We start from the raw sequence: 16,627 nt of genomic DNA on the forward strand, positions 1-16,627 counted from the left end.
TGGCACATGCCTGTAATCCCAGCTACTCGGGAGGCTGAGGCAGGAGAATCGCTTGAACCCAGGAGGCGGAGCTTGCAGTGAGCCGAGATCGCACCATTGCACTCCAGCCTGGGCAACAAGAGTGAAACTCTGTCTCAAAAAAAAAAAAAAAGACATCTGAAAGACATAAATAATTTTAAATGTGGCATGACAAAAGATGCCATTAAAAATGTAAAAGGCAAATGACGGAGTAAGAAGGAATATTTTCAGTGCATATAATAGATGAAGACTTAATATCTTTGCTCTTCAGGGAGCTGTCATGAAACTGATAAGGATCAGTGACCCACCCAAAAAGCAGGTGAAGAGTGTTTAGTCAGTTCACAGAAGAACGTATCTAAATGGCCAGTAAACAACACTTCAAGGAAATAAAAATAACAAGTTAGTACTTCTTATTGCTGGCCAATTCAAAGAAAGAGGTGCATTCCTTCATTACTGGTAGAAAAAGAAATTGTTACAGCCTTTTTTTTTTCAGATGGAGTTTTGCCCTTGTTGCCCAGGCTGGAGCGCAATGGCGCGATCTCGGCTCACTGCAACCTCTGCCTCCTGGGTCCACCCACCTTGGCCTCCCAAAATGCTGGAATTACAGGTGTGAGCCACTGTGCCCAGTATTAACAGCCTTTTTTTTTTTTTTTTTTTGAGACGGAGTCTCGCTCTGTCTCCCAGGCTGAAGCGCAATGGCACGATCTCGGCTCACTGCAACGTCTGTCTCTTGGGTTCAAGCAATTCTCCTGCCTCAGCCTCCCGAGTAGCCGAGACTACAGGCATGTGCCACCACGCCTGGCTAATTTTTTTGTATTTTTAGTAGAGACAGGGTTTCACCATGTTGGTCAGGCTGGTCTCAAACTCCTGACCTCAGGTGATCCACCCACCTCGGCCTCCCAAAGTCCTGGGATTACAGGCGTGAGCCACTGCTCCCAGCTTACAGCCTTTTTTTAAGTACCCAATTATTGTTCAGTCCAGTCTTTTTTTGAATATAGTCAAGAACTAGCACATAATACATGCAGGAGCAAAACTTTGTAAACAAAGTGAATGCCTCTGGATAGGGAGATGTCGTGCTTGTCACCTGAGGTGGACCCCATACCACTGAACTTGGAGGGATTTCTGTTGTGTATTCAGTGAGAGGAGAGCAATGTGCAAGGGAGTATTTTAAACTCCATCCCCGTATACCAGTATCTGCAGGGAAATAAGTATACACGTGTGATGATTTGGGCATTCGGGAAGGTCTAGAAGTATGTGCCAGGCTGGTAAACTGAGATGAGGTCAGGGAGGTTAGCAGCAGAAGGGAAAGCATGTTCATGATCAAAACAGTATCTGAGTTGTATTTATGATTCTGTAGACACGTGAAGAGACATGCAAAGGACAGTCACCACCAAAATGGTAATGGTTGTCTCAAGTTTCCTTAAACTCAGCTATATTGCTTAATTAAAGAAAAAAAATAGGCCAGGCACGGTGGCTCATGCCTTTAATCCCAGCACTTTGGGAGGCCAAGGCGGGTGGATCACCTGAGGTCAGGAGTTTGAGACCAGCCTAGCCAACATGGTGAAACCTTGTCTCTACTAAAAATACAAAAAATTAGCTGGGCGTGGTGGTGGGAACCTGTAATCCCAGCTACTTGGGAGGCTGAGGCAGGAGAATCACTTGAACCTGGGAGTCAGAGGTTGCAGTGATCTGAGGTCACGCCATTGCACCCAGCCTAGGCAACAAGAGCGAAACTCTGTCTCAAAAAAAATAAATAAATAAAAAGTTTGTGCTGTTAGTTTAATAGGGTTGGGAGAGTGAACAAGTTGTTTTCATCAAATAATTCTAGAGTTTTGGAGTGGGGTGCTTAGGAACCTCATGTTTTCTGACATTGTGACTTACTCCCGTTGAGCTGCTCTTCCCGAAGCACTGAGGCAGGAGTGCTCTCCACCCAACAAACTGGCCTCTCAGTTAACATTCCTTAGCAGTGCAAGTCAAAGAGACACTTTAAAGTGTCTCTGATTTTTAATACATCACTCTGCAGGTCAGTGTCTATCTGGAAATTTCTATGTGAGAGGTGATGGAACCAGAGTTTACTTCTTCACACAAGGTATGAAACACTCATCTTTTTACGCTAAAAGTCCCCAGTACCAGATGGTCTTCAAGGCACATTCAGAAGGAAAACTATCTGGCCCCTCCTGCCTTTTAGGCAGGCTGTTTCCTTCGGTTCCCCGCTGCTCACACCCTCTTCCACCCTGGGCTAGGCTACCCATGGCAGCCAGCCACTCGGGCCCCCAGGCAGCCCTGGCTTGTCCATGCCTTCAGTCCTGCTCTGCTCTCCCTGTCTGCCACTGTCCAAAATGGGAAGCCTGCCCACTCTGCAAGGCTCACCTCCAGTCCAGCCTGTCTCACCCTCTACACGGGGTTGTGCTTTGGTGTGCCTGGGTCAGGGTGAACCCTGGGTTCTAGGGGTGCCGGGAACTGCTCTCCTCTGCAACTGGCCCATCCACAGGCTTCATCCTTCACTTGGGCCTTCTGTTCCTGGGCCCTTTTTAGGGTCACCTTCTTTGAGCCTTTGGTTAAGATGATGAAACCTCTTTCCTAAAGCAATTGCTTTGACATACGTAGATAGTTTTGCATAAATTTTAAGGTGTTCATAGAGCCTAAAGGCCAAATATAAACCAAAGGTTTTTAAAAAAGAAAAAACCGCGGCCTATACACAGTGGCTTCCCCTACCTAAACATGAACTTGTTGTTACCAAGCCACCACTGCATTTATAACCAAATGGCCATGTAAAAAACACGACAGCAACTTCCCAGAGCCCCATTTAACAAGGACTTAGTAGATAAAAATGCCTTTTCTTGAGGGGAAAATGCATAAACATCTTTTATTTTCCACACTAGAGGAACTGGACACGCTTTTCACCACTGCTGGACTGGAAAAAGTTCAGAATCTGGTGGACCGCCGACTGCAGGTGAACCGAGGGAAGCAACTGACAATGTACCGGGTTTGGATTCAGTGCAAATACTGCAAGCCCCTTCTGTCCAGCACCAGCTAAGAGGCACCTGCTGCCAACACGATGCAAGCCCGTTGTGTTTCCGAGCTTTTTTAAAAAAAAATTTGTAGCACCGGGCATGGTGCATGCCTGTAATCCCAGCCACTCAGGAGGCTGAGGCAGGGAGGATCCATTGAGCCCAGGAGTCCAGCCTGGGCAAAATAGCGAGAGACCCTGAATCTGAAAGTAATGATAAAATAAAAAGAATATAAATGAGGTCTCGTTGATGCTGGACAATTCAAGAATTCAGACTTGAACCTTAAACCTAGGAAAAGTTACTTTGTATCAGGATTCTAACAATTATGCTTCATATTTGTGAAGTCCTTTAAAACATAATTTTCTCAAGTTCTTTCTTTGAGACCTCAATCTGTCTTAGCATTTTGTAACTAATAACTGAAATTTTATTCAAAGGAATTGTAAACCTTAAACCACCATTTATTTCCATGTGAAAAAGTGTTATATATGACAAGTGTTTTTTGATTGTAATTGCGTTAAATCTTTTGAGAGTGTAAATGCCGGGCTAGGCAATTGCAGTTAATACATACAGGGGTTAGTGAAGGGCTTATTAAGTTGTAGGGGAAGCAAGCTGGGAAGAATCAGATCAGATATTTTCCTGACAAGAAAAAAATGACCCTGTAGACAGCATCAAAATGTGGTGTTCTTGTTAAGTAATTGATCGTGGTCTTTGCTTTAATCTTAGTTCCGCCAGGCACGGTGGCTCACACCTGTAATCCCAGCACTTTGGGAGGCCGAGGCGGGCAGATCACCTGAGGTCAGGAGTTCGAGACCAGCGTGGCCAACATGGTGAAACCCCGTCTCTACTAAAGATAAAAAAATTAGCTGGGTGTGTTGGTGGGTGCCTGTAATCCAGCTACTCGGGAGGCTGAGGCAGGAGAATCACTTGAACCCAGGAGGCAGAGGTTGCAGTGAGCTGAGATTGCGCCACTGTACTCCAGCCTGGGCAACAAAGCAAGACTCTGTCTCAAAAAAATAAAAATAAAAAAAATCTTAGTTCCATGGAATTTTAAGCACTGTTCCCCCTCTAACCTATGTCTAAAGAATTAAAAGAATTTGGCTGGGTGCGGTAGCTCATGCCTGTAATCCCAACACTTTGGGAGGCTGAGGCAGGTGGATCACGAGGTCAGGAGATCGAGACCATCCTGGCTAACACGGTGAAACCTCGTCTCCACTAAAAATACCAAAAAAAATAGCTGGGCATGGTGGCATGCGCCTGTAGTCCCCTGTAGTCCCAGCTACTCGGGAGGCTAAGGCAGGAGAATCGTTTGAACCTGGGAGGCAGAGGTTGCAGTGAGCCGAGATCATGTCACTGCATTCCAGCCTGGGCAACAGAGGAAGACTCTGTCTCAAAAAAATAAAAGAAAAGAATTTTCACTTTTTGCAAAATTATCTTTTTTTACTGCACCCTTAAGTGTTTGACACAAAAGGAATTGAGAGAACTTCTTAATTTTAACCACATCATCACTTCACTTCTGAATGTGATCACTGTCAGTGTTAGATGCTTTTTTTTTTTTTTTTTAGGAGACAGGGCTCTCACTTTGTTGCCCAGGCTGGAGTTCAGTGGTGCAATGATAGCTCATTATCACCTCGAACTTCTGGCTTGAGCCATCGCTCCACCTCAGCCTCCTGAGTAGCTAGGACTGCAGGTGGGCACCATCATGCCTAGCTAATTGTTAGATCCTTTTTTTTTATGTTCTGCATTTTTTCAATTATTTTTACATATTTCTGTCTTGATCCATGCAGTTATAGGATATATCCTTAATTTTAGAAAGTAAGGACTTTTCGACCAGGCATGGCGGCTCACGCCTATAATCCCAGCACTTTGGGAGGCTGAGGTGGGCAGATCACTTGAGGTCAGGAGTTCCAGTCCAGCCCGGCTAACATAGTGAAACCCCGTCTCCACTAAAAAATAAAAAATCAGCCCGGCATGGTTGTGGGCGCCTGTAATCCCAGCTACTCAGGAGGCTGAGGTAGGAGAATTGCTTGAACCTGGGAGGCGGAGGTTGCAGTGAGCTGAGATGGTGCCATTGCACTCCAGCCTGGGCGACAAGAGCGAAACTGCATCTCAAAAACAAAGATGCCTAGCTTTCACCTTGTTGATGTTTTTCTAAATTTTGGAATAATAAATTTATATAGGAATACTGCAAGAATAGTCCATTTTTTTCTGATGTCCCAACATCAGCAAATATATTACCAAATATATCCATCACAAGTAGGAATACATGGAAACATTAATGCCAGCCACTAACCATTCATGTTTACCCAGTAGTCCCAATAATAGCTTTGTCACACAAAAACATGATTATGTTGGCTGGGCACAGTGGCTCCTGTAATCTTAGCATTTTGGGAGCCCAAGGCAGGAGGATGACTTGAGGCCAGGAGTTCAAGACCAGGCTGGGTAATGTAGCAAGACCCTGACTTTTTTTTTTTTTTTTTTTGAGATGGAGTTTCGCTCTTGTTGCCCAGGCTGGAGTACAATGGCACGATCTCGGCTCACTGCAATCTCCACCTCCCAAGTTTAAGTGATTCTCCTGCCTCAGCCTCCCAAGTAGCTGGAATTACAGGCATGCAGCACCATTCCCAGCTAAATTTTTTGTATTTTTAGTAGAGACAAGGTTTCTCCATGTTGGTCAGGCTGATCTCGAACTCCCGACCTCAGGTGATCTGCCCGCCTCAGCCTCCCAAAGTGCTGGGATTACAGGCGTGAGCCACCACGCCCGGCCAAGACCCTGACTTTTTAAAAAATGTTAAACATAGGCCGGGTGCAGTGGCTCACGCCTGTAATCCCAGCACTTTGGGAGGCCGAGGTGGGCGGATCATTTGAGGTCAGGAGTTCGAGACCAGCCTGGCCAACTTAATGAAACCCCATCTCTGCTAACAATACAGACCAGGCATGGTGGCTCACACCTGTAATCCCAGCACTTTGAGAGACCGAGGCAGGTGGATCACCTGAGGTCGGGAGTTCGAGACCAGCCTGACCAACATGGAGAAACCCCGTCTCTACTAAAAATACAAAATAGCCAGGTGTGATGGCGCATGCCTGTAACCCCATCTACTTGGAAGGCTGAGGCAGGAGAATCACTTGAATCTGGGAGGCAGAGGTTGCAGTGAGCCGAGATGGCGCCATTGCACTCCAGCCTGGGCAACAAGAGTGAAACTCCGTCTCAAAAAAAAAAAAAAAAAAAAATTAGCTGGGCATGGTGGTGGGCGCCTGTAATCCCAGCTATCTGGGAGGCTGAGTCTAGAGAATCATTTGAACCTGGGAGGCGGAGGTTGCAGTGAGCCGAGATCGCACCATTGCACTCCAGCCTGGGCAACAGTGAGACTCCGTCTCAAAATAAAAAAACAAAAAAAATGTAAAAAATAAATAATTGTATTGAATTTATTAGTTGTGTCTCAGTCTCCTTCAGTCTACAGTTTAGGCTTGCTTTTGCACCTTTGCATTTTAAGGTAAGAGGCTATTGTGTAAACTCGAATTGGGTTTGTTGGTGTTTCTTCATGATTTGGTTCAGGCTCTGCATTTTGGGCAGGAATATTCAGAGGTGATGCTGTGTTCCTCCCATAGGATCGTATCAGGCGACACATGATTATGAATTTCCCCATTATTGGTGATGTCACTTAGTTGTGTTGTCTGCCAGGTTCTGCCACTGTAAAGTTAATAAGTATTTTGTAGGGAAGTGCTTTGAGACTAAATATCCTGTTCCTCATCAAACTTCTACCCCCTAGTTTCAGTATCTATTGCTGTTTTTTGTCTGAATAACTATGATAGTTGCCAAATAGTGGTTTCTGATCCTTCCATTCCTTCTACACTGATTGGTTGGTATTTTGTACAGAAAAGCTTTCTCATATCTGATTTACTTGTCTCAATATGGACCCATGGGTATTTGAGTTTCTTGTGGGGTTATTTGTTGTTGTTTTTGAGACAGGCTCACCCAGGCTGGAGTGCAGCAGCACGATCACTGCTTACTGCTTACTGCAGCCTCGACCTCCCATGCTCAAGTGATTCTCCCACCCCAGCCTCCCAAGTAGATGGGACTACAGGCATGTGCCACCAAGCCTAATTTTTGTATTTTTTGTAGAGACAGGGTTTCACCATGTGTCCCAGGCTGGTCTTGAGCTCCTGAGCTCAAGCAATCCTCCCACCTCGGCCTCCCAAAGTGCTGGGATGAGCCACCGTGACTGGCCCCACTTAATGGGTTTTCAGAGGTGGGAGCAAAGAATGAAGGGAGGAAGAGAGCTCCCATCTTTTCCATTACCGTATTTACTTAAAACTGGAAAAAACTGAATCACTGGGATGGTATTTCATTTATCTTTTGAAATGAAGAATAGATACATTAATTTAAATGATTCTCTAAAGACTGTCCTTCAGCATCCCTAAAGCATTGCAAAACTATAGGCACAGTTTTTATTTTATCTTTCTGGCACCTGGTTTGGGCTTTGGCTTAGATTAAAAAGACGAGCCTTCTCCTGCCCCTGCTCCCTTTTATTCCCTGCCATCTGCTAAGCTCGACTTTTTATCTCTCAGGCCAAATTTGACTCTGTAAGGGACTTTGCATAACGTTTCATCCTCAGAATCGCTAATGATGGGCAGAGGACTGTTACATGTGTTGGGAGGGATTAAAGTATATGACCTCAGTGCCACTTAAAAAATAAATACTGTCTCAACTATCAGTCTGGCTCTGAATGGTATCTCTTAATATGCTTAATGCAAGAATGGTGGGTCGGGCGTGGTGGCTCACGCTTGTAATCCCAGCACTTTGGGAGGCTGTGGCAGGCGGATCACCTGAGGTCAGGAGTTTGAGACCAGCCTGGCCAACATGGCAGAACCCATCTCTACTAAAAATAAAAAAAATTTAGCCAGGCATGGTGGTGGGAGCCTGTAATCCCAGCTACTGGGGAGGCTGAGGTAGAAGAATTGCTTGAACCCGGGAGGCGGAGGTTGCAGTGAGCAGAGATTGCCCTCCAGCCTGGGTGACAGAGCAAGACTCCATCTCAAAAAAAAAAAAAAAAAAAAAAGAAAGGTGCTATGTGGGGCTGGAAGGTGGCTCCAGGTGTGAAGCTGCTCAGGAAGTTGTGTGGTTTCAATGTGAATCTAACAGAGAAGTGTTTCTGAAACTGATTTACCTTCCTAAGTAGTGTTAATTAGGGTGAGGAGATAAATTCAATGTTGTTTGAAAAATGAGAGACAGTTTGAGACAGATGCACTGGAGCTATTGGAGTGAAACCATGTTCCTGAAGGCAGCGATCACCCTGAAAGTGGGTTTTGCACTGTGAAAGGGATTCATCTCCCGGTCTTGCAGGATTCATGTAGAGCCTGGCCTCTGTTAATGCTATCAAACCTATGTACAATGGGTCGGCCACTTCTTTTCATATAAGTTCATATTCTCTTGGGTTCTGGTTGGAAAATTAGGCCTTGGAAACTTAGTGAGAAAGGGAAAATCTAACGTGCTAAGCCATCCTACTTGGATGTAATTGATTCCTATCTTTGCTTAAATACATACTTTAGTAGGAGTAAGGAGTTCTGTCTGTGGCTTAAAAGATGAGCTCAGGACAAGCAGTTTCTTTCAGTCTGTTCACAAAGGCCTGTTCTTTGGTTTGTGGCTGCAGCTGCTATTTTCAGAGCCTGGCTGCGTTGATGCATTGCAGATTTGTGCGTGCTTCCTAATTTGGTCTACAGGTTGTGATTTGGGAACCCTGGTTAAGAGGTAGAAGAAGTGCTCATGGTGAATTTCCCAGGTGAAAACACTGAAACATTGCATCATGACTGCTTCATTTTATTTAAATAAGTGTCTTGGCTCAAGGTTGGACATTGTCTCTGTAGCCAGTGAAACACACTCCATGACCAGGTTTCAGGACAAATCACCACAGTCCGATTTAATACCCCACTGGGGACCCTGAGACACCGTAGCCTTGACTCCAGCCTCAAGCTTGGCATCTTTACCCACAGATGAGCCTCACACTGCCTTCATTCATTCATTCTCTACTTCCATTCTCTGAATTTGGATTTTGCCATTAAAATTTAATGTTATAGCCAGGTGTGATGGCTCACACCTGTAATCCCAGCACTTTGGGAGGCCAAGATGGGAGGATCGCTTGAGTCCAGGAGTTCAACACCAGCCTGGGTAACATAGCAGCATCCTGTTCATACAAAAAAATAAAAAATTAGCCAGGCGTGGTGGTGCCTGTGTGTAGTCCTAGCTACTCAGGTGGCTGAGGTGAGAGGATCGCTTGAGCCCAGAAGTTCAAGGCTTCAGTGAGCTGTGATCACACCACTGCTGGGTGACACAGCAAGACTCTGTCTCAAAAAAGAAAAGAAAAGAGAGAGAGATAGAAAGGAAAGAAGGAAGGAGAGAGGGAGAGAGAACGAAGGAAAGGTAAGAAAGAAAAAGAAAAGTAGCCGAGTGTGGTGACCCATGCCTGTAATCCCAGCTACTGGGGGAGCCGAGGCAGGAGAATCGCTTGAACCCAGGAGGCTGAGGTTTCAGTGAGCCAAGATCACGCCACTGCACTTCAGCCTGGGTGACAGAATGAGACTCCTTCAAAAAAAAAAGAGAGAGAAAGGGAAGAAGGAAAGAAAAAAAAAAAGAAGGAAAGGAGGGAGGGAGGAACATTTATCAGCAGTGGCACACTTGAGAAACCCTCCAAGGGTGAGCAGAATGGCGAGGGCCCTGAAGAGCCCTGCTACTGACAAGCCCCTGTCACCCTCTTCAGCCTTGCTTCTGATTACCCCTCAATTTTTGTGGGCGATTAAGGCCGACATTCAATCGAGCTCATTAAATTATGAGTTTCTGACACGGTGCGGTGGCTCATGCCTGTAATCCCTTTGGAGGCCAAGACAGGTGGATACCTTGAGGTCAGGAATTCGAGACCAGCCTGGCCAACATGGTGAAACCCTGTCTCTACTGAAAATTAGCCAGGTGTGATGGTGAGTGCCTGTAATCCCAGCTACTTGGGAAGCTGGGGCAAGAGAATCACTTGAACCCGGGAGGCGGAGGTTACAATGAGCTGAGATCCTGCCATTGCACTCCAGCCTGAGTGACAAGAGCAAAACTCTGCCTCAAAAAATAATAAAAAAGGCCAGGCACGGTGGGTCACACCTGTAATCCCAGTACTTTGGGGGTCCAAAGCAGGCAGATCACCTGAGGTCAGGAGTTCAAGACCAGCCTGGACACCATGGTGAAACCCCATCTCTACTGAAAATACAAAAATTAGCTGGGCATAGTGACGCGCATCTGTAATCCCAGCTACTCGGGAGACTGAGGCAGGAGAACAGCTTCAACCTGGAAGGTGGAGGTTACAGTGAGCCGAGATCAAGCCATTGTGTTCCAGTCTGAGTGACAAGAGTGAGACTCCATCTCAAATAAATAAATAAATAAATAAATTGTGAATTTCTTGGGGGACCGTTGTATTCTAAACACAGCAGACTACCAAAGCCCCTGGCCCATGGTCAGTGCCCAGTAAGTGGGGACTGAATGCCTGAATAGCTTCTTCCTACCCTGCCCACTGCCCCCTACCACTGCACAGACACCCCGGATACACAGTTTGTATTTAACTTAAAAACAAAATCATACAAGGTTGCAACTATCAACAGCTCAAGGTGGCTTAAACAAAAAACAACAGTAGAAGGGCACAGGGCGCCTCCTGGACCCCACGCTGGGAGGTGTGTGGTTGCCCGGTTGCCCTCACTCCTGCAGCCTCTTTAAGGACCACTTCTCTGCTCCTTAGTGCACTTGTGGGAGGCAGCTGTAACCAAGCTCCTGAGGTTTGATGTCTCTGTAAAATGGGTGTGCAGCATGTGCGTGTGTGTGTGTCTAGGCAGCCAGTTCCCACAATGGCAGGCAGAATCCCCAAAAAGGCATCCGTAAGAGCATGATTTCCTAGACTTCAGCTGGTTTATTTCATCTTCCCAAATATTGATATCCGAGTAGACCATTATGGAATCCTTTTACATTATATTTTTGGCCAGGCGCAGTGGCTCACACCTGTAATCCCAGCACTTTGGAGGCCAAAGCAGGCATATCACCTGAGGCCAGACCAGCCTGGCCAACACAGTGAAACCCCATCTCTACTAAAAAAAAAAAATATACAAAAATCAGCTGGGGGTGGTGGTGCTTGCCTGTAGTCCCAGCTACTCAGGAGGCTGAGGCAGGAGAATCACTTGAACCCAGGAGGCGGAGGTTGCAGTGAGATTGTGCCACTGCACTCCAGCCTGAGTGACAGAGTGGGACTCTATCTCAAAAAACAGAATTTTTTTAAAAAAATTTATATTTTTACTTAAATGTGTTTATTTATTTGTTTTTATTATTATTTTTTGAGATGGAGTCTTGCTCTTGTCACCCAGGCTGGAGTGCAGTAGCATGATCTCGGCTCACTGCAACCTCCGCCTCCCAGTTCAAGTGATTCTCCTGCCTCAGCCTCTAGAGTAGCTGGGACTACAGGTGCGTGCCACCACGCCCGGCTAATTTTTTGTATTTTTAGTAGAGACAGGGTTTCACCATGTTGGCCAGGATGGTCTCAATCTCTTGATCTTGTGATCTGCCCACCTCAGCCTCCCGAAGTGCTGGGATTACAAGCGTGAGCCACTGTGCCCGGCCTTAAATTTATTTTTAAGGGATTTTTTAAAAATCACTGCTATAAAGGTAAAGTAAGTATTAGTTGCCATGAACTAAAAGTATTTTTGGGCCATGTGCAGTGGCTAACCCCTGTAATCTTAACGCTTTGGGGGGCCGAGGTGTGAGGATCACTTGAACCCAGGGTGGCTTAAACCATTTGAGGAGTTTGAGGCAAGCCTGGGCAAGATAGTGAGGCCCCATCTCTATTTAAAAATAAATAAATAAATAAAAATAAAAATGTATTTTAAAGATCAATACAATGAAAACAAAACAATACCTTAAGTTCCAGTTGGATGCCTTTGGGGCCAAAGACTTGGAGCACTAGGTCTGGAAACAGGAGTGAACACATCAGTCACACCTTTCCTGGAGCTGTCAAATTTGGACGAGGAGATTCCAACAATAAACCCATAAATCCTCTAACACGTGGGCATGTGCCAGGAAGAACCAAGCAAGCTAGGGAAAATAGAGAGGTGGCAGGGATCAGGAAAAAGGCACACTCTGAGGTTGGGAGTGGGGACAAGGAAGGCCTCCTGGAGAAGGTCACATCTCTCATGGAACATCTTCTCTGTGGAAGGAACAGCCAGTGCAAAGGCCTGAGGCTCATGGTGGATTCTCCACCCACCCAGTGTGGGGAACGCTGCATCATGAATCTTAAGCTTGGTACCATTGCTCACTCTCGTAATGAATGTATCTGCCTCAAGCACATTTTTTTTTTTTCAGACAGAGTCTCGCTCTGTCACCCAGGCTGGAGTGCAGTGGTGCAATCTCAGCTCACTGCAGCCTCAACCTCCTGGGTTCAAGCAATTCTCGTGCCTCAGCCTCCCTAGTAGCTGGGATTACAGGCATGCGCTACCACACTTGGCTAATTTTTTTGTATTTTTTGTAGAGACAGGGTTTGGCCATGCTGGCCATGCTGGTCTCAAACCCCTGGCCTCAAGTGATCCTCCTGCCTTGGCCTCCCAAAGTGCTTGGATTACAGGCCTGAGCCACCACACTCAGCCCTAGTACTACCCAAGTGCATTAGGTGCGGAGAAATGAGTGAGAATGATTGCCGGCTTCCAATCAACCCTCGTGTGCAGGGTCTGGATTCTTCTCAGTTCATTTAGGAACTGTTAAAGCTGTGAGGTCAGCCCCGCTCACAAGGGTCTGGATTATACAGCAAGATTATTTTGCTCTTCTTTTTCCCCACGCCACTAATCGTGCTCCTAAAGCAAGATTATTGATCTGTAATCTGAAACGTAACTGACAAGCTGAGGGGATCTCCCCAGGAAGGGAAGCTACTTGAGAAACTGAATTTAGATCAGAAGTTGATTGTTCAGAATACAACTGAGCCCAGAGATTGGATGGCACCAAGGGAGGTTTCTGTCAAGCCGTCCCGTTCCGAGATGCCCCATCGCACCAACGAAGCAACTGCTGAGCAGGTTTGCACTAACACGAGCTGGCGTTTGTCCAGACCTTAAGACTCTTTAAATAGCTTTTCATATATTTAATCCTCACATTGCCTCTGTGAATATAAGCGTAATTATCTCCATTTTACAGATGAGGAAATCCGAAGTTCAGGGAGGGTAAATGGTTTACCAAGGTCAGACTACCAGTGTTAATCGTGAGGTAATTAGCCTTAGATTAGGGAGAGGTAGTTTGATAGAAATGATATCTGACATAATATATGGGTTTAGACATTTTTGGCTCCAACCAATGATGCCAGTCCAGGAAAATGTTACACCTGCTCAGATGTTAACCCTGCTGCGGGCTGGAGGAGAAGGCACCCTCACCCCAACCCTCCCCAGGAGAAGAAAACCCTGCAGCTATCAGAAGTTTTAGTAAAAGAACTATCAACAGTCCATGCAATCGTCTACATAATTTGTGTTTGTGTTGCAACACTGTCCAAATTGCAACATTTTCATCAAAATAGAAAACTGAAATCCCCCATCTTTACCCTATGGGCCAGATCCTCCTGGGGTGAAGGGGGAGCTTGGATTTTTTTTTTTTTTTTTTTTTTTTGAGATGGAGTCTTGCTCTGTCACCCAGACTGGAGTGCAATGGCGTGATCTCGGCTTACTGCAAGCTCCGCCTCCCGGGTTCACGCCATTCTTGTGCCTCAGCCTCCCAACCCCCAACCAGTAGCTGGAACTACAGCTACCACGCCCGGCTAATTTTTTGAATTTTTAGTAGAGAAGGGGTTTCACCATGTTAGCCAGGATGGTCTCGATCTCCTGACCTCGTGATCCGCCCACCTCAGCCTCCCAAAGTGCTGGGATTACAGGCGTGAGCCACCGCACCTGGCCAGGGGGTGCTGGGATTCTAATCCCTCATGTTCAAGGGGTTCCGTGGAGGCTTCACAGGCTGTGGCCTGTTGAGTTACAGAAGGGCCCACGCTTGATTTCATGCCCTTCCATTGCTGTCTTGAGATTCCTTCTCCTTGCTTCTTTCTTTTCCTTTTTTTTTTTTCCGGTTGGTTGGTTTGTTTTTGAGACAGAGTCTCCAGTCTCACTCTGTTGCCCAGGCTGGAGTGCAGTAGCACGATCTCGGCTCACTGCAACATCTGCCTCCTGGGTTCAAGCGATTCTCCTGCCTCAGCCTCCCGAGTAGCTGGGATTAGCCCGGCAAGAATTCATTTTCTTCTTTTCTTTTTCTTTCTTTTTCTTTTTTTTTTTTTTTTTCAGACAGAGTGTCGCTCTGTCACCCAGACTGGAGCGCAGTGGTGCAATCTGGGCTCACTGCAACCTCTGCCTCCTGGGTTCAAGCAATTCTTCTGCCTCAGCTTCCCGAGTAGCTGAGACTACAGGTGCCCGCCACCACGCCTGGCTAATTTTTGTATTTTTGTTTTGTTTTGTTTTGTTTTGAGACAGGGTCTTGTTTTGTCGCCCAGGCTGGAGTGCAGTGGCAGAATCTTGGCTCACTGCAACCTCTGCCTCCTGGGTTCAAGTGGTTCTCCTGCCTCAGCCTCCAGAATAGCTGGGATTACAGGTGCCCGCCACCATGCCTGGCTAATTTTTGTATTTTTAGTAGAGATGGGGTTTCACCATGTTGGTCAGGCTGGTCTCGAACTCCTGACCTCATGATCCACCCACCTTGGCCTCCCAAAGTGCTGGGATTACAGGCGTGAGCTACCACACCCAGCCTAATTTTTGCATTTTTAGTACAGATGGGGTTTCACCATGTTGGCCAGGCTGGTCTTGAACTCCTGACCTCAAGTGATTCCACCCACCTCGGCCACCCAAAGTGCTGGGATTACAGGTGTGAGCCACCACACCCAGCCCAGAATTATTAATAATTATTTTTAATGAGGGGCCCAGCATTTTCATTTTACATTGGGTCTCGCAAAGAACCCAGCCAGTCCTGCTGCTGCCTCTTTCTTGCTCCTTCTTCCTCCTTTTTCCTCTCCTTCACAAAGAGCTGTCTGCTCTTGCCTTTTTTTTTTCCTTCCTTCCTTCCTTCTTTCTTTTCTTTTCTTTCTTTTCTTTCTTTCTTTTGACAGAGTCTGGCTCTGTTACCCAGACTGGAGGTGCAGTGGCACAGTCATAGGTCACTGCAATTTTAATTTTGAACTTCTGGGCTCAAGCAATCCTCCCCGCCTGAGCCTCCCAAGTAACTGGAATTACAGGTGTGTGCCACCATGCCTGTCTAATTTTTTTAAGAGACGAGAGACTGCAGTCTCACCATGTTGCTCAGGCTGATCTCAAAGTCCTGGGCTCTAGTGATCCTCCCGCCTCAGCCTCCCAAAGTGCTGGGATTATAGGTGTGAGCCGTAAGCCACTGTGCCCAGCTCTCTTGACTTTTTTTTTTTTTTTAGACGAAGATCACTGCACAATCTTGGTTCACTGCAACCTCCTCCTCCTGGGTTCAAGCGATTCTCCTACCTAAGCCTCCCGAGTAGCTGGGATTACAGGCACCCGCCACCATGTTTGGCTAATGTTTGCATTTTTAGTATGCCGGGGGGACATTCCCCTCCCTTCTGATCCTCCTCCCTTTCTAAGCCCCTCCTCCACTCTCCTCGACCCCTGGGCACCTTCAAGCAGGCCTTCTAGACATGCCAATCCTATACCCTCAGGACTTGCCCGTCTAACAGTCCTTCCCTGACCTCCCACGACCCCTCGGTCCCACGGCGTCCCAGGGTTTGTCTTTCTTTCTTGATTGTCTCTCTCCCTCTCTTTCTTTCTCTTTCTTTCTTTCTCCTCTCTCTTTCTTTTCCTTCCTTCCTTCCTCTTTTCCCTTCCTTCCTCCCCTCCCTCCCTCCTTCTCTTCCTTTCTTCCTTTCTTCCTTAAGACGGAGTTTCACTTTTGTTGCCCAGGCTGGAGTGCAATGGCACAATCTCGACTCACTGCAACCGCCTCCCAGGTTCAAGATTCTCCTGCCTCAGCCTCCCAAGTAGCCGGGATCACAGGCGCCTGCCACCACGCCCGATTAATTTTTGTATTTTTAGTAGAGATGGGGTTTCACTATGTTGGTCAGGCTGGTCTTGAACTCCTGACCTCAGGTGATCCACCCGCCTCAGCCTCCGAAAGTGCTGGGATTACAGGCGTGAGCCACTGTGCCTGGCTTTGCATTTCTTATGACTCCTTAGCAGCATCCTTGTTCCTGCTCACTTCTACCTCCTGCCTCTAGACTATGGGCTTGCCCCTTGGGTCTGGGGACCTGGTCAATTTTGCTCACAGTTGTATCCTCAGTACCTAGATTTGCCTGGCACATGAAGGTGCTCAGTAAATATTTATTGGGTGGGCAAGTGCTTAGAAGAATGTCACCTACAAGCCATGTCCCTGAGAGTGTCAGGCACCAAAGGGAGGAAAGACAAGTTTTGCCACCCGATCCAGCAGGTAACAGCAGGGCTGGAGATGGACCTCAAAACCTGCAGAAAGGAGGGGCTCCCTAAGTGTTACTTCTAAGCCACGCATTCCTGGGAAAGAGCAGGACAAAAGAGCCAGCCGGGGAGCAAGCCTGTCATGG

General features: G+C 46.7%; 1 protein-coding gene across 1 annotated transcript in view, besides 1 other annotated feature; it reads left to right on the top strand.

Moving 5' to 3' along the window:
- Nucleotides 1-7,741, top strand: part of METTL2B (methyltransferase 2B, tRNA N3-cytidine) — a 29,855-nt gene extending 22,114 nt beyond the window's left edge. The window contains exons 8-9 of the mRNA NM_018396.3: nucleotides 2,042-2,107; nucleotides 2,901-7,741. Of these exons, the coding sequence (NP_060866.2) occupies nucleotides 2,042-2,107; nucleotides 2,901-3,055 (221 nt within the window). The 3' untranslated portion in view covers nucleotides 3,056-7,741. The remainder of the gene's footprint in view (nucleotides 1-2,041; nucleotides 2,108-2,900) is intronic.
- Nucleotides 7,915-8,004: an enhancer, noted in NCBI's record as "active region_26602". NCBI's record gives its function as "activates an Ori minimal core promoter by ATAC-STARR-seq in GM12878 lymphoblastoid cells {active_cell/tissue: GM12878}" and the evidence as "EXISTENCE:reporter gene assay evidence [ECO:0000049][PMID:35858748]".

Source organism: Homo sapiens, chromosome 7 (assembly GCF_000001405.40).
Source record: "Homo sapiens chromosome 7, GRCh38.p14 Primary Assembly".
Classification (NCBI taxonomy): domain Eukaryota; kingdom Metazoa; phylum Chordata; class Mammalia; order Primates; family Hominidae; genus Homo; species Homo sapiens.